At 39.8% G+C, this 18362-nt stretch overlaps 1 protein-coding gene and 1 pseudogene across 3 annotated transcripts in view; both read right to left on the bottom strand.

The window, feature by feature from the left end:
• LRRC37A2 (leucine rich repeat containing 37 member A2) overlaps window positions 1-18362 on the bottom strand; it is a 676337-nt gene that overhangs the window by 632449 nt on the left and 25526 nt on the right. For both annotated transcript variants that reach the window (XR_007065300.1, XM_047436147.1), the window contains exons 2-4: window positions 9931-10016; window positions 7547-7646; window positions 3810-3849 (exon numbers count right to left, since the gene is read on the bottom strand). Coding sequence is in view for 1 of the 2 variants with exons in the window: in XM_047436147.1 (XP_047292103.1) it covers window positions 3810-3849; window positions 7547-7646; window positions 9931-10016 (226 nt within the window). In the remaining variant the exon portion in view is untranslated. The remainder of the gene's footprint in view (window positions 1-3809; window positions 3850-7546; window positions 7647-9930; window positions 10017-18362) is intronic.
• The window catches only part of NSFP1 (N-ethylmaleimide-sensitive factor pseudogene 1), a 50285-nt pseudogene that overhangs the window by 6418 nt on the left and 25505 nt on the right, over window positions 1-18362 (bottom strand). The window contains exons 2-4 of the transcript NR_033799.1: window positions 9931-10016; window positions 7547-7646; window positions 3810-3849 (exon numbers count right to left, since the gene is read on the bottom strand). The product of NR_033799.1 is annotated as an N-ethylmaleimide-sensitive factor pseudogene 1 (transcript). The remainder of the gene's footprint in view (window positions 1-3809; window positions 3850-7546; window positions 7647-9930; window positions 10017-18362) is intronic.

The raw sequence follows: 18362 nt of genomic DNA, 5'->3' as shown, positions 1-18362 counted from the left end.
TCAAATAATAAGTTCAAATTTTGGCTAAAAGTTTCAGAATACTCTCCTGTCTCCAATTCTGGATGGCTTGCTCCTTCTTAACATTTCCTAGAATGGCCAGGCACGGTGGCTCATGCCTGTAATCCCAGCACTTTGGGAGGCTGAGTTGGGCGGATCACCTGAGGTCGGGAGTTCGAGACCAGCCTGACAAACGTGGAGAAACCCCGTCTCTACTAAAAACTACAAAATTAGCCGGGCGCAGTGGTGCATGCCTGTAATCCCAGCTACTCAGGAGGCTGAGGCAGGAGAATCGCTTGAACCTGGGAGGCGAGGCTGCAGTGAGCCAAGATCGCACCATTGCACTCCAGCCTGGGCAACAAGAGTGAAACTCTGTCTCAAAAAAAAAAAAAAAAAAAAATCCTAGAAAGTACAGGTTATATGCTGAGTAACTTTGATAGGCAAAAGAGCTTAGTTGTTTCCCTCATGTAGTTTGAAAACATTTATAGGTTGAAATATTAATGTAAAAATGAATATGATGATTCAGCAATTCCATTTCTAGATGTCTGTCCCAGAAAGATGCTAGAACATTTGTCTAACAACACATCTACAGGGAGGTTCATTGCAGCATTATTTATAGTACTTAAACATTGAAAAATGTTTATCAGTAGGAGAACAATGAATAAAATGTAGTATATTCATAATGTAGAATACTTTACAGCAATTTTTATTGAAATTAAAACTTGGCCAGGCACGGTGGCTCACACCTGCAATCCCAGCACTTTGGGAGGCTAAGGAGGGAAGATCACTTAAGTCCAAGATTTAGAGACCAGACTGGGCAACACAGTGAAACCCTATCTCTACACAAAATTAAAAAATTAGCCAGGTACTGAGGCTGCAGTGAGCCACGACTGCACCACTGCACTCCAGCCAAGTGAGACCCTGTCAAAAAAACAAAAAAAAAACAAAAAAACAAAAACCAACTTTATGTATATTTATTAAAGATGGACGGCCTGGCCAGGCGTGGTGGCTCACACCTGTAATCCCAGTACTTTGGGAGGCTGAGGTGGGTGGATCACCAGAGGTCAGGAGTTCAAGACCAGCCTGGTCAACATGGTGAAACCCCATCTCTAATAAAAATAGAAAATATTAGCCAGCGTGGGGGTGAGTGCTTGTAATCCCAGCTACTCAGATGGCTGAGGCAGGAGAATTGCTTGAACCTGGGAGGAGAGGTTGTAGTGAGCCAAGATCACACCACTGTACTCCAGCCTGGGCAACAAGAGCAAAACTCCATCTCAAAAAAAGGTGGATGGCCCTTGAAAACATAATATTGAGTGACAAAAGTCTACTGCAGAAAGGTTTGTACAGTATAATACCATTTTGTGCATTAAAGACACCAAAACAATATCATAATGTCATAATGCATATATATGTGTGTATATACATATATTCATGTCATCTTCATACTGAGAAATTTGAATAAGTATATTTAAAATATTGGCCAGGCGTGGTGGCTCATGCCTGTAATCCCAGCATTTTGGAAGGCTGAGGTAGGTGGATCATTTGAGGTCAGGAGTTCGATACCAGCCTGGCCAACATGGCAAAACCCCTTCTCTACTAAAAATACAAAAATTAGCCAGGTGTGGTGGCACATGCCTCTAATCCCAGCTACTCAGTAGGCTGAGGCAGCAGAATTGCTTGAACTGGGGAGGAGGAGGTTGCAGGGAGCTGAGATCATGCCACTGCACCCCAGCCTCAGCGACAGAGCGAGATTCCATCTCAAAAATAAATAAATAAAAATATAATTACTACTGACTGTAGTAATGCACTGACTGTAGTTTTCAAATGCATTTTAATTTAAGGCCAATGTTCCTAAATAGAAAAGACCAAACTGTTACAATTTCAAGTGCTATGGGCAGCACCATGGACAGTATCCCAGGCAGCACCACAGTCAGCACCATGGTCAGTCCCAAAGGGACAAGAGTCCTGAAGATTTCATCCTGGATCAAAGAAGATTGAGAATGTTTTCTTATTTTACGGCTAATAGTAATTTAATATAAAAGACTAATAAGAAAGATTTTATAAGCAAAAAATAAGTGTATCCAGTTCTTTGAATAAACTTGGACTTTACAATAATAGGTGTATATATAGTGGTCAAAACATTAGCCTGTAACACTTAAAATATGGCATTGCCAGATGGAAAGAAGACCGACTAAATGATTCCTCCAGAAGATTCCCTCAGACTAAAATCACTGATTTGACTAAAATGTTTCACCTTACGGAACTCCCATTCCAGAATACTTGAGCACTCCTTCAAACCACACCTCCTATCCTATCTTGGTCTACATCACTACTTAAACCAAACCAGTTTTCTATCTTTATGGCTACATCATCCACATCACTTGGGCCCCAAAACCCTACCTTCCCTCAAGCTTACTCCACTTTAGTCCCACCTATCACTGGGTTTTACAATTTTGCTTATTAAGTCTGTTTGAGCCACTTCTTTAAAGATCTGACTTTACAATCCAGATAAGCATTTCTGTTAGCAGAAGAATGCTTTTATAACTTAAACCGCAAAACACATTTCTCAACTCATCAAAATTTATAATCTTGAATTTCTGTATCTTGTCACAATAGAAAATATCTAGATTCAAAGTTTTAAGTACTCTTAGCCTCATATTTAGAAAAATTAATTTATGAAAATTAGAAACCTAAGCTACATACTACCCCACTTTCTCATTAAATTTAACAAGTGTTCATACTTCCACAAAGAAAAAGCTAACTAAAAATAACACCAATGTTGGCTGGGCGTGGTGGCTCACATCTGTAATCCCACCACTCTGGGAGGTCAAGGCAGGTGGATCACGAGGTCAAGAGATCGAGACCAGCCTGGCCAACATGGTGAAACCCCATCTCTTCTAAAAATACAAAAATTAGCCGGGTGTGGTGGCAAGTGCTTGTAGTCCCAGTTACTTGCAAGGCTGAGGCAGGAGAATCGCTTGAACCCTGGAGGCAGAGGTTGCAGTGAGCCGAGATTGCGCCACTGCACTCCAGCCTGGCAACAGAGCGAGACTCCATCTCAAAAATAAAATAAAATAAAATAACCCCAATGTTTAAATTCCATCTAACTTAGAAAAAATTACAAGTTGTCAGGTTCCTAAATGAGGAGTAGGATAAAAGATGTGTGTGTGTGTGTGTGTGTGTGTGTGTGTGTGTGTGTGTACAGAGAGAGACAGAGACCCAGAGAGGAAGACAGGGAGCCAGAATGATAAAGAAAATATGACAATTGGTAAAGCTGGGTAAAGGCAGTATACAGAAATTCTTCGTATTATTTTTGCAACCTTTCTATAAATACAATTTTTTTTTAAGTTTTAAAGACAAGCAGAAGAAAAGCTGGTTTAATTACACTTGCATTTTCTTTCCTTCCCCTACTGTATCCATGAAGTTGACATAAAATCATCTGACTAAAGACGACTCATACTCCATTTCCTAACTTTGCCACATTGCCTGAGACAATGCCACTTTTTGCTTATTAGTTCTTTGGCTTATTATCTATTAGCAGCTTAGTCTTTCCACCCCGCCACGCCCCCAACTGGAAGTCACAAATTGCTTTCCTTGCCTTGAACTATGACGACCTTATCACACACTTCATAAAAGATATAGGAACAGAGGTACCATAACTATTTCCTTCCCATTCTCATAGATGTAACCAGTCTTCTGATACAATGAATGTTTAAGATCTGACCACTAGTAATAGAAAATTGTACAGATCTCAATAACTGTGAGAAAATCACATAGAAAATCTTTATCAGGTGGCTAAAAAATATACCTACCTTCTATTTCTTGCCCAATAGAAAGCCCAGCCCATTTTCTCTGTAAAGGAGAAAAAAAGATACTTAAAACCAAAGCCATCAAAATTAGACAAGAGAAAAAGAGGAATTTTAATGAATTTTAGGAATACACTCAAAGATCAAAACATGGTATGCTATTATGGTTGAACTGTGCTCTCCCCCTCCAAAGTATGTTGAAGTCTTAGCCCCCAACACCTGTGGATGTGACTTTATTTAGAAATACAATCTCTGCAAATGTATCAAGTTAACATGAGGTCATAATGAATTAGGGTGAACCCTAAGCCGATATGACTGGTGTCCTTCTAAGAAAGAGACATAGACACACAGACAGAATGCCATCATGTGATAGCAGAGGCAGAAATTGAAATGATGCAGCTACAGCCAAGGAACACCAAAGGATTGCCGGCAACACCAGAAGCTAAGCACAGAACAGGTTCTTCCCTAGAGCCTTCAGAGAGGGAATAGCTCTACTGACAGCTTGATTTCAGACTTCCGGCCTCCACAACGGTGACAGAATAAATCTCTGTTGTTTTAAGCTACCCAGTAATGGTTCTTTGTTACTTACCCTAGGAAAGTAAAGCATGTGCTACAGTTTACATCTGAACATCTGTTTCAAAACGTGCAAAGCTTGCCTTTTGCAGTAAAGCTGGCACCACTGAGGAGGATGTTCCTTTGCACAATATGATGCTACAGAAGGTCTTCACTGTATCAGATCACACTTCAGTGTTCTAAATGTACTGCTGCAGTTAGTTTTACTGTTTGTTACAGTATCTCAAAAAGGAAGACATTCAATTCATGAAGACTAAATTAAAACTGGTCAGAAAATCTATTTTGAAACCCAGTCAGGGACTGAAATCATTAGATGGTCATGGCTACTCTTTGTATACTAGCCAGAAGATTTTTAGACATTTACAGCTAGATTTCAGGCTTTCCCAAATCCCTACTGTTTACAATGGCAAGAAGTATGAAGGCAGGCCAGATTGTGTTTAGGCAGGAATCTGGGGTTTGCTTGGTATAGATTCAAAATTAGTAATTACTGATAACACTCCAAAGAACAATGAGAAAAACAATTTTTGGTTGAAAATCAGTAGTTCACCTGCCCATCCAAACACTGCAGACTTTGTGGCGGGTAATTTAGAAGACACTGAACTGTGAATATGTGCAACAAGTGCTCTCCCTTGTGGCTTTCTTACCACATCCTGTTTCCCTCCACTCTGCCCTTCACCTCCCCCAGAAGACCTCTTCTGTAAAACCCCATCCCACTTCTGGCCAACCTGAAATTTAGCACCATGCTCGTTAAGCTTAGACTTTAAGTCACAAGGAAGCCACATTTAGGTTCTGTACTTCAATCCCAAAGACAGCTGATATGGTTTGGCTTTGCCCCCACCCAAATCTCATCTTAAATTGTAGTTTCCATAATCCCTATGTGTTATGGGAGAGACCCAGTGGGAGGTAACTGAATCATGGGTGTGGGTTTTCCCATGCTGTTTTCATGATAGTGAGTAAGTCTCAGAAGATCTGATGGTTTTATAAAGGGCAGTTCCCCTGCACACGCTCTCTTGTCTGCCGCCATGTAAGACATGACTTTGCTCCTCCTTCGCCTTCCACCATGATTGTGAGGCCTCTGCAGCCATGTGGAACTGTGAGTCCATGAAATCTCATTTTTCCTTATAAATTATCCAGTCTCCAGAATTTCTTCATAGCAGTATGAAAATGGACTAATACAACAGTCCTTAGGGATAACAACAGTAGCTATTGTATAAGGTTGTTTGGAGAATTAAATGAGCTAACACATGCCAAAGTACCTAGAATAGAGGCTGGCCTACAGTGAATGTCGGGGAAATTTTTTTTTTTTTTTTTACAAAACAGAGACAAGGAGAAACTGTCACACCTCAAGCTATTGCTAACAATCAGAATCCCAAATGGAACTCTGTAAAAGCTGGAGAACCCTGGAATATCCCAAACTTTTAATCTATAGAAACAAACGTGAAAGTGGTCTGGATAATGAAGAGGCATCAAACAGACAGGTGGAATAGTAAGTGAAAATTTCCTGTAATTTTTGAGGGCTTCAAGAGATCTTCAATAGTTCCTTTTTTTTCCCTTTTTTTTAAGAGACAGAATCTCACTCTGGAGCAAAGGCTGGAGCATGGTGGCACAATCATAGCTCACTACAGCCTCGACTTCCTAGGCTCAAGTGATCCTCCCAACCTCAGCCTCCCAGGTAGCCTGGACTACAGGCATGTGCCACCATGCCCAGCTAATTAAAAAAAATTTTTTTTTTGTAGAGACTAGTGCGGGGGACAAGGGTCTCGCTATGCTGATCTGGAATTCTTGGTCTCAAGCGATCCTCCTCCACCTCCCAAAGCACTAGGATTACAAGCGTGAGGTACCTGGCCCATCTAATAGTTTTTGTTTTTGTTTTTTTCTTTTTTAAACAGGGTCTCACTTTGTCACCTAGGCTAGAGTACAGTGGCACTATCTCGCCTCACTGCAGCCTCAACTTCCCGGGCTCAAGTGATCCTCCTGCCTCAGCCCCTCAAGAAGTTAGGACTACAGGCATGCACCACCACACTCAGCTAATTTTTATATTTTTAGTAGAGGTGGGGTTTCGCCACGTTGCCCACTGGTCTTGAACTCCTGGACTCAAGTGATCCACCAGCTTTGGCCTCCCAAAGTGCTGGGATTACCAGCATGAGTCATTGCACCCAGCCTAATAGTTCTTAAATGAGTGTTTGAGCTCTTTCTCTAAACCTTCAGGGAAGTCAACCAATGCTCATTAGCATACTAGGAGGAGGTAGGAATTCCATTTACATTACTTAGGACTGGGGACAGTCAGCAGCCTGAGTAAAATGATAAGGGAGAAGAGGATACAGACTAGTATTCTTGGTGCTTTATATTATGTATGATGTGCCTGGGACAGCACTAAGCAATCTAATTCTCTGGATTCCACAGAATCCATCAACAGTTGTAACTGTAATCACAACCCATCCAGTTGTTATGGGAGCCTAGCAAATTATGTTGTAATTTGAGACTCTTTCCAAATTCTTTAGTATAACGCCATCACATTATAAAATCACCATTCTTAGATATCAACTTCACAAATAAAATGTTTTCTACTTTTCTATTACCCTGGCAGTTAACATTAAAATAACTTGACGCTTTATGTGATAGCTGACTGATTTTACTGCAAAATCTTTAAAAATTAGGGAAAAAAAATCAAGCCAAAAGAAGGCAGCCATAGCAAAAACTGGCAATTAAGAATCTGTCTTTAGGTTGGGCATGATGATTCACACCCTATAATCCCAGCACTTTGAGAGGCCAAGGTGGGAGGATTACTTGAGCCCAAGAGTTAAAGACCAGCTTGGGCAACACAGTTAAGACACCATCTCTACAAAAAATTTTAAAATTAGTCAGGCACAGTGGTACAAGACTGTAGTCTCAGCTACTCGGGAGACTGAGGTATGAGAATTGCTTGAGACCAGGAGCCATGATCGTGCCACTGCACTCCAGCCTGGGTCTCAGAACGAGACCCTGTCTTAAAAAAAAAAAAGAAAAAAAAAAAAAGAAGACTGTATCTTTAAATTCCTTATATAATACTTAGATATTTTTCTTCAATATGAATCAATACAGTCACAGGGTGATGCTTGCTTAAAATGAACAGATTATTCATATTCTATGACTTTCAAAAACAGAAGAGAACAAATTAACATCTGAGTTACCTGAGGTAAACTGAATGCAATGCTCCCTGGAACCACCGATGGATGTGTCTTCAGTGTAAATGTGTACCTGTGATTGGGAGAGGTCCTCACAATCACATGCCTAAAGGACAGAAACACAGTTAGTACTCCACATTGAAGGAAATGAAGAACATAATTTCAAAATGTATTTCTTGTCAAACTGATATTTAATGAGTATCAGGTGGAAACGACACTATCTGTGTCTTGAAGAAATAGAACCACAAATTTAGTTTCCCAAACTATCAGCAATCCCAAATGTTTTCCAGATATAAGGAGCACCTTGGGTCAAACACTCATCAAGTAGAATCCAGCCAAAATACCATCCAAAATACCAACTTCCTTACATTTCCAGTTTACATAAAACTGAAGCCAGTGATTTAGAGTCCTTGATATCAAGTAAAAACTAGATGCATTTCCTCTCCTGAGAATTACTTCACATCCTAATAAGGAGAAGAGAGCCAAAGATAAAAGAGCTAGGATATAGCAATCAAAAAAAAGTTAGTTTTTAGACTACTCATTAAATTTATTTGCAGACTCTCTCAACAGGCTAAAACAAAAACAACCTACAAAATAAAAAAAAAAAAGATTTAAAAAATTCCCAAAATACATCAGCTTTCATGTAGATATCAATATTTACTGTTTTAAAAAATTTTGTGCTAATTCCCTGTTCAGAAATTACCTGTAAAAAAAAAAAAAACAGTCCTCTCATGATAATCTCCTATACCAGGTAACTAAAAAGTACTATGTGTAAGATAGAAGCTTCAAATCCTGTTATGCAGCAGCAGTATCTTTTTTTTTTTTTTTTTTTTTTTTTTTAATACATGTGGTCTTGCTATGTTGACCAGGCTGGCCTCAAACTCCTGGGCTCAAGAGATTCTCCTGCTTCAGTCTCTAAAGTAGTTGGGACTACAGGCATGCCCTAACATGCCTAGCTCACTATCTTTTTAAACATTATCTTTTCAGAATGCTGTAATTTTTCACATCAATGGCTAATGTTTCTATACGTATTTTTTTTGCCACTAGAACACATGTTCCTTATATCAACTACATTTTGAGTAACCCCACCATGAGTACAGTGAACATTTAACATATGTAAAAGAATTCCACAAATTCTCACGTTGATTATCTATACTTCAGTTTATCTGTTGAAAATCCTGTGCTCAATTTAGCATCACAGAATGTTTAGCACTGGAAACAATGTTAATATCACCATATAGTACAGCCTCTTACTCTGAAGCTGGAAACCAAAGATGATTAGCATTTCTAACTCTGTGAAACTCAGGTATTTCACAGATAACATTTTAAGAAAAATGCTCAGTTAAAACCCTACCACCTTGCCTCTTATTTCCCTACAGCCCCTTCATCTCCTTATCTGTACCAATCTCAGAAGCATATGGATGGCACTGAACTTGCAGCAGGGTCTTTAGAAGTCCTGGCAGTGCGGTGATATGGATCAGTTAAAATAAATTACAGTGCAAAATGCCTTTAAGGATTCTACATTTGCTTTGCAGCTTCCAATTTTCTTTTTCCTTTACTTTTTTTTGAGACAGAGTCTCGCTGTGTCACCCAGGATGGAGTGCAGTGGCGCGATCTCGGCTCACTACAGTCTCTGCCTCCTGGGTTCAAGTGATTCTCATGCCTCAGTCTCCTGAGAAACTGGGACTACAGGCGCACACCACCATGCCTGGCTAATTTTTATTTTTAGTAGAGATGGGGTTTCACCATGTTGGCCAGGTTGGTCCCAAATTCCTGAGCTTAGGCAATCAGCCTGCCTTGGCATCCCAAAGTACTAGGATTACAGGCGTAAGCCTCCATACCCAGCCCATCTTCCAATGTTCATGTCTCTTGGATTATCATGGTAATAATAATCATAACAGCTAATATTTACTAAGGGATTGTTAACATGTTGGGAACTGTTCTAAGTGCTTTATTTATGTAACTCAATCTTCATAGCTACCTTGAGGAAGAGATCATCTCCATTTTACAGATCAGGACATAGAGGTACAGAAATGGTCACACAGTTTGTAATTGGTAGAGCCAGGAAAACTCAAACAATCTGAGTTTGCCAGAACCAAACACCTAACAACTCTGCCATATATGATTCATACAACCAGTATGTTTAGCTCTACTAAGAAAACTGATGAAAACTAGAGTTTTATACATAAAACATTTTTAAAACATTATACAGTATTTATCAAAGTTTGACACAGTAATGATTCAAATACATAACTTTTTCTCATCTTCTCCATTTTCCAACTCAGCAAGAATTTTTTAAAAATATTTTCCAACGTTTCCTAAAAATGACTCTCTGGAAGTTTCCCGAATGCCACTTAGCAGGTTAAAAGAAAACAAAGTCAGATACTCACTGGCCAGACTGGAAATCCTTTTCATTCACAACTGCACAATTGGTTAAAGATAATTCATCTGTAGGACATCTTGCCGCTTGCATGCTCTGTAAGAATCAATGATTAGGAAAATCAAATTAAGTCATGTTCTATTCCCTTAAAGAATATTTTATGCCTTTCTGTCCTCTCTTCATCACTCATTGCTATAATGAACATCTATTATTTTTGACTCCCAGCATCCCTTCCTCTGCATTAAGAGCAAACCCTTCCTTTGGGAAACTGTTCCTTTCCCATTCCATGTGGTTTAGTGAGACTGCCAGTCAGCACACATGCAACCACATCTACTCTATCCCACCCACAGGATTTTATATATGCTGGCGCTAGACCAAAGGCATTCTTCTGCAAGCCAGAGCACCACAAGGAGGAAGATTTTCCACTCTAAAAGGGTAAAACTATCACAGAGACACAGACAAGCTAATAGATAACCTGGAAACACAGATCTGGCAACCAAGTTCTTGAGACCAGTCCTGAACATTAGTTACGAGCCAACAAATTTTTTTTGCTCAAGCTTTTTTGAATTAGCTTTCCATATCTTCCAAAGAATCTTGACTAATAAAAATGCACTGAAGTAAATTCAATAAATTTGGTAAACTTATGTATCAAATTTTATGTATATTATCAAAAGTATATTATGAAATGTTATGCATATTATAAAGAGTATACTATGAAAAAGTATCTTTTTATAAGAGATCCCAGGTGGCTACGAACTGTATCTCCTATAGATTGAGAAAAACCATCTTCCAAATATCTTTCAACAAAAATAATTACAGACTATATTTAAAAAAAAAAAAACAGCCTTTTTGGTCAATAGCAACTAGCAAAATGTTCCTTTATATAATATATTTAACCAATAACCCTTCCATGATTCCCTAGGGTTTCCTAGTGAGCTATGACAGGTAGTCATAGTCTATGACTGAAGGGTTCATTCTTCAAACCTCAAGCCAAAGCTGATTTTTTTTTTTTTTTTTTTTTTGAGATGGAGTCTCACTCTGTCACCCAGGCTGGAGTGCAGTGGCGTGATCTCGGCTCACTGCAAGCTCCGCCTCCCGGGTTCATGTCATTCTCCTGCCTCAGCCTCCTGAGTAGCTGGGACTACAGGTGCCCGCCACCATACCCAGCTAATTTTTTGTATTTTTAGTAGAGTCAGGGTTTCACCGTGTTAGCCAGGATGGTCTTGATCTCCTGACCTCACGATCCGCCCACCTTGGCCTCCCAAAGTGCTGGGATTACAGGCATGAACCACTGCACCTGGCCAGGACGATTATTCTTAAATGTGTCTCCCAAATATAAATTTATAGAGGAAAGTGAATTATTTTTGGCTTTGCTTTTATTTTAACTAAAAGGCCAGTTTCAATATCATTATCCCTGTTGTTTAGGGCATTAGTCTCCAAAGTGGGATATGTGTACTTGAAGGGTGTTTGTATTATACGATAATCCTTTGGGGTATAAAAATAAAATATTAGTACTGGTATTTATATTGACTTCACACAATTTCTTATTTATGTGTTGTTTTGTTTTTTGACACAGTCTCTCTCTGTTGCCCAGGCTGGAGTGCAATGGTGGATCTCAGCTCACTGCAATCTCTGCCTCCCTGGTTCAAGCGATTCTCATGCCTCAGCATCCCAAGTAGCTGGGTTACAGGCATGCTCCAGCTAATTTTTGAATTTTTGGTAGAGTCGGGGGTTTCATCACGTTGCCCAGGCTGGTCTCGAACTCCTGAGCTCAGGCAATCCGCCCGCCTCGGCCTCCCAAAGTGCTAGGATTACAGGCGTGAGCCACTGCGTCCAGCCACACCATTTATTTATTTATTTATTTATTTATTTATTTATTTTAATTTGTTTGAGACAGAGTCTCACTCTGTCACCCAGGCTGGACTGCCCTGGTGCGATATCGGCTTACTGCAAGCTCCGCCTCCCGGGTTCACGCTATTCTCCTGCCTCAGCCTCCCAAGTAGCTGGGACTACAGGTACCCACCACCACGCCCGGCTAATTTTTTTGTATTTTCATCAGAGACAGGGTTTCACCGTGTTAGCCAGGATGGTCTCGATCTCCTGACCTTGTGATCCACCCACCTCGGTCTCCCAAAGTGCTGAGATTACAGGTGTGAGCCACTGCACCCAGCCCATTTTTTATTAAAGATGAACCTCACTCTACATGTCTACTCTACCTTAAGATATAATCTGATGGCACGAACAAAGTCCTCATAATCCACCAGGCTTTTAAGTGTTCACTGCAAGAGTTAAACGTCTATAATTTTTCCACCTATGTCTAAAGTCACAGGCTATTTAATGTGACACTTCACAAAATTGTACGAAAGTTAGTGTCGAAACTGCTAAGGTTTCCCTAAAAAAAGCCAAGGACCATAGCTGAAATTATACACAGAAATAAAAGTGGTGACAAACTAAATGTATTCTTTTATTGGTAAGTATAGTCAAAAGCTCTTAGAAAACCCTAAAGACTTGAAGATATCAGGACAAATACAGTGTGTGGGGTTTGCTATACAATTGGATAAAAATACAGATGATTCTTTCATCTTAGGGTATTTGCTGGGTAATTATGAAATATACAGGAAATACAACTTTGTAAGATACCAAGGAACAATGTATTAAAAGGGAGGTATTCTTAACTGTAAATGAAACAAGGTGCTTTATGGGAAAACTGTAACCACTGATGAAATGACTGCTTTGACTGGAATTTTAAAAAAGAATTCTGGCCAGCTGCGGTGGCTCACACCTGTAATCCCAGCACTTTGGGAGGCCGAGGTGGGTGGATCATGAGGTCAGGAGATCGAGACCATGCTGGCTAACACGGTGAAGCCCCGTCTCTACTAAAAAATAACAAAAAATTAGCCAGGCGTTGTGGCGGGCACCTGTAGTCCCAGCTACTTGGGAGGCTGAGGCAGGAGAAAGGCGTGAGCCCGGGAGGCGGAGCTTGCAGTGAGCTGAGATCGTGTCACTGTACTCCAGTCTGGGCAACAGAGCGAGACCCTATCTCAAAAAAAAAAAAAATTCCAGAACAAAGTTACAGTGATAGCATCTGATACAAAAGCCTTTAACAGCTTCATTCACAGGTAAACTATTGCTGCAATTAAGTCAGAACAAGGTACCTCAGATGTCACTGAGGTTAACTGTATGAATATAGAATCTTCCTATACTCTGGGAGATAGAGAGTAGCCACTGAATTTTTTTTTTTTTTTTTTTTTTGAGAGATAGTCTTGCTCTGTCGCCCAGAATTGAATGCAGTGGCGCATTCTCAGCTCAGAGTAGCTGGGACTACAGTTGTGTACCACCACTTCTGACTAATTTTTGTATTTTTAGTAGAGATGGGGTTTCACCATGTTGGCCAGGCTGGTCTCAAACTCCTGGCCTCAAGTGATCCACCTGCCTTGGCCTCATAATCTTTTTTTTGTTTTTAAATCCACACAGATTCACTAGTTACCACAAGAAATGTATTTAAAAGATTTGTTAAATGTAGATGAGTTACACAATTTTTTTAAAATAAAAAGACTAGAGTTCCAAACTTGCTAAATATTTCTGAGGAGGTTATAAGTAGTATGCTACCAAGAAGATATTAAAAAAACAAAAAAACTCACTCTGCCCCTACAAAATAAAAATGTTTAGCAACATGTCAGAATTATTTTCAGCTTTTCCAGAAAAAAGAAAAAGAGAAAAAAATCGGCCGGGTGCAGTGGCTCACGCCTGTAATCCCAGCACTCTGGGAGAATGAGGCAGGCGGATCACCTAAGGTCAGGAGTTTGAGACTAGCCTGGCCAACATGGTGAAACCCCATCTCTACTTAAAATACAAAAATTAGCCGGGCGTGGTGGCGGGCACCTGTAATCCCAGCTACTCGGGAGGCTGAGGCAGGAGAATCGCTTGAACCCAGTAGGCGGAGGTTACAGTGAGCCAAGATGGCACCATTGTACTCCAGCCTTGGGGACAAGAGAGAGGCTTCATCTTTAAAAAAAAAAAAAAAAAAAAAAAAAAAGAGAGCGAGAGAAAAAAAAATCTTTCCTAATAGAGCATTTCAAAATTGGATAATTGGAAACATTTCCATTGCTAAGTTATTCTGCTGTTGAAACAATATATACAAAATCTAAAAAATAAAGACACCAAAAACTCGTATCTTCATGCTTTATAAAGTCAGAAACAGAATATTCTAAAACTTTTTAAAATATCTTCCAAATGAAGACTTAACAGTGATTTTTGGAACCCATTTATTAACACAATAAAAGTATAATATATTTTTATTAATCTGCAAGAAAAACTAATAGATGGATATTTACCAGCCACATTTCAATAAAGCATTTCCATAAATAGTGAATAAGTTTGGAGAAAGAAAGAATATGATTTAGAAAGTGCAGCCAAATTCTTCCATTTTGATCCAGGCTTTGACTGCCATTAAAGTATCAAAATAAACTGAATTTAGAAACAGCCCTCTGAGCAGCTGTATCACATAATATTAAACGAAGATTTTAAATAATGATGTACCACTTTACTTTCTGGGTTTTTTTTTTTTTTTTTTTTTTTTAGATGGAGTCTTGCTCTGTCGCCCAGGATGGAGTACAGTGGCATGATCTCGGCTCATTGTAACCTCCGCCTCCCGGGTTCAAGCAATTCTCCTGCCTTACCCTCCCGAGTAGCTGGGATTACGGGCGTGTGCCACCATGCCCAGCTAATTTTTGTATTTTTTAGTAGAGATGGGATTTCGCTATATTGGTCAGGCTTGTCTCAAACTCCTGACCTCAAGTGATCTGCCTCCCTCAGCCTCCCAAAGTGCTGGGATTACAGGCGTGAGCCACTGCACCCAGCCTACTTTCCGTATTTTCAGTAAAATTAACACTGTGAGAATATTGTACATGCCATCTTTAGCTCATCCTTTTAATTTTTTTTGTTTTCTATACATGTTCTACTGCGTATATAACTTTTAGTACTACATATCATCTATAAACAAATATTGGCATATAATCAATATATGAGGATACATAATCAAAACATTTTTTACTTATGAGATTCATGATCAAATGTTTGGAAATCACTAATTTAGCACAAGATGAATAAAGTCTAGGTCACAAGTCTCCTTTGTGAATGAGACAGCATTTATGTGTTCAACAAATGCTGACAGCATTTTGCCCAGTCACAGCTTGATCAGCCATATGACAGAAATGTACTGAACTTTTTCAGTTTCCCACTTTCCCAGGGTCATTTTCACCTGCAAGCTTCTTTCTTTTATATAATCTCCGCCACTAACCCCTGTTCCATCCCTGGACAACTCCCACTCATTCTACAATTCTCCACTTAGACACTACTTTTTCTGGAAGGCATTCCTAGACACCTACCCCTCCCCACTAAACTGATGAAATAAACTTCAAATGGAAGCACTCAACTATAATTTTATTCTGTCTACATGTTTGCACTGCATATAAGACACTAAACTTCTCAAAGACTGAGACTATATCTTGCTCACATATGTAGTTCCCAGTGTTAGTACAGGGCCTAGTACACAGTGAATACTCATTAAATGTTTGTTGAACACAAAAATTTATAGATCAATAAAAATCTGTCTCAACTGCAGAATAAACAATCCAAAGAACATGTAACAAAGGACTGATCGTCTCAAGGTTATTTAGGAAGTGATAAAATTGAGCTAAAATGATCTGATAGTTCAAAATATACAGAACGATATAGCTAAAGTAATAAAATAAATTTACAAAATGCTGTTAACTCTTTCATTTATAAACTTGTTTATTTGTCAAGTGTCCTTCAAAAGGAGTGAAAAAATCCACAGAAGTCATCTGGCTGGCCAACCAAAACAGATGCTGTGAACAAAAGGCCTCCCTACTGGAATCCAGAAACATCTGTGTTTTTATGGTAAGCCAAGCATGGTATCTCATTTTTTCAACGAAGTATAAGTCTCTATAAATAGTAGCTGTCTACTCACCACAGCAATGCCAAGGGAAAATTCCACAATTTTTCTAACATTGACCTTGCCCCTAGGAAACAATAATGAAAGCCAACCACTACAGTCATGCAGTTATTAAGAAATGAAAGTACAGGCTAGGTGCGGTGGCTCACGCCTATAATCTCAGCACTTTGGGAGGCCAAGGTGGGAGGACTGCCTGAGCTCAGGAGTTCAAGACCAGCATGGGCAACATGGTGAAACCCCATCTCTACTAAAATACAAAAAATTAGCCGGGTGTGGCGGTGTGTGCCTGTAGTCCCAGCTACTCGGGAGGCTAAGGCAGAATTGCTTGAACCCAGGAGGCGGAGGTTGCAGTGAGCTGAGATTGTAGATGACCAGCTGGAACAGCCACCCTTGTTGGACACTGTTTGATTCAGCTTTTTATTAATATGCAGTTCTGAGATGGCATCCTTATGCACACGCCCACATATTTCCTTAGGTCAGGTCTATAGATGTGGAAGCCAGGTCCCACGCGTTGGGTATGGCTGTCACCCTGAAGATACCGCAGATCGCCAACATCACATTCCCCAGTCCCCATCTAGTGGCCTCCAGTGGCCCATCTACTGGGCCAGCAGGGGCCAGGAAAGGAGAAGAGGGAGACCAGTGGGGCTGAAGGCACTGGTGCGTCTGTGCAAGAGGAGGAAGCCCTGTGAGAGGGCAGCAGCCTCCGGACTGGTACAAGCGATTCTCCTGCCTCAGCCTTCCGAGTAGCTGGGATTACAGCAAAAAATAAAATTATTTGCTTATCTTCATCAAAGAAACTGGGGTGATTTAATCAGGACTCTTCTGGACAACACTGCACAGTTTTGGAATTTAAATCACATACTTTCATCCAAACGTCCACTTTAAAAACTGGATTAAAGTACGCTTTACTATTTACTAAATAATTTAATAGGGCAAAATAAACAGAAAGAAAAATAGTGTGGCATCTGACCAAAAGAGCTCATTACCAAACAGCTTCCCCTACCTGAACTGTCACCCTTATGAATCCACTGGTTCTTCTTCTGTGGTGCTCTAGGCTTTGGTTTCATTTCTCCCACAGGAAAGGGAAGGACTGAAAACACAAACCTGCCCCAGGGCCAGCTCAGCTAACAGGTCTCACTCAACTACTTCTTGCTAGAGGATCTTTCCTGAAAAATAACATTTCAGAACTACACTGTTCGGTAATCACTAGACATATTTCACTATTCAAATTAATTTAAAGTTAAATTCAATTCTTCAGTTGAACTAGCCCTACGTTTCAAAAGCCACCTGTGGCTAGTGGTTATCACTGCAGAAAGTTTCATCGGATAGCACTAGCCTAGAATAATGCAAGAAAGGCCATCAGTACTAATCTTCAGGCCTATGGAATCCCTCTGTGCTACATATTCCTATAATAATAATTTCTGTTAAAATTCTGAAGTCACATGTGACTAGAAGTGATGGGGTAGAAATAAGTTAAACTTATATGTCCTATAGTTATCTCTTGAAAAGCCTTTAGGGATATCCTTGACATTATCTATCTCAAACTAATAACTGTTCACATAGATGAACCTCCTGCCTGGCATCCCTTAGAACTTTAAAATTCCTTTACAAGTTTATAATGAAAAGAAAAACAATTCCCATTTTGGTCTTTTGGGGGGAAAAGCATGCACAGAAAAATATAAAAGGCTGACAACTTTCAATATCGGCAAAGATGCAATGCAGTTTCTACAAAGTTAATGTGACCCAACAAGTGCACCCCTAGGTTTTTAGTCAAAAGAAATGAAAATATATCCACACAAAGACTCGCACACAAATGATCACAACAGCTGTACTCATAATAGCCTAAAAATGGAAACAACATGAATGTCTACCAAAAGATGAATGAATGAAGAAATTATAGGAGAGCCATACAATTGACTACTACTCAGAAATTAAAAAGAAACTAGTCCAGGTGCAGTGGCTCATGCCTGTAATCCCAACACTTTGGGAGGCCGAGGCAGGGGGATCGCCTGAGCCCAGGAGTTCCAGACCAGCCTGGGCAACATGGTGAAACCCTGTCTCTACAAAAGATACAGAAATTAGCCAGGCGTGGTGGTACATGCCGGTAGTCCCAACTACTTGGGAGGCTGAGGTGGGAGGACTGCTTGAGCCCAGGAGTATGAGGCTGCAGTGAGCTATGATCACACCACTGCACCCCAGCCTGGGCAACAAAGCAAGACCCTGTCTCTACAAAAAAATAAAAACTAAACTTAAAAAAAAGATACACACTAAACTGTTAACAGTGGTTACCACCAAGGAGAAAGACAAGAAAATGTCTTTACAATTCTGAACTCTTTACAATTCTGTAAAACTCTTTACAATTCTGAACTGCTGGAACTGTTTTTACAATAAATAAACTTTGTCTCACAAAAATCATTTTAAATATAGAAAACTTTTATGTGTAATTTTTTCCCTACAGCATTATTTTA

Source organism: Homo sapiens, chromosome 17 (assembly GCF_000001405.40).
Source record: "Homo sapiens chromosome 17, GRCh38.p14 Primary Assembly".
Taxonomy (NCBI): Eukaryota; Metazoa; Chordata; class Mammalia; order Primates; family Hominidae; genus Homo; species Homo sapiens.
This window is presented reverse-complemented; position numbering and strand designations above follow the sequence as displayed.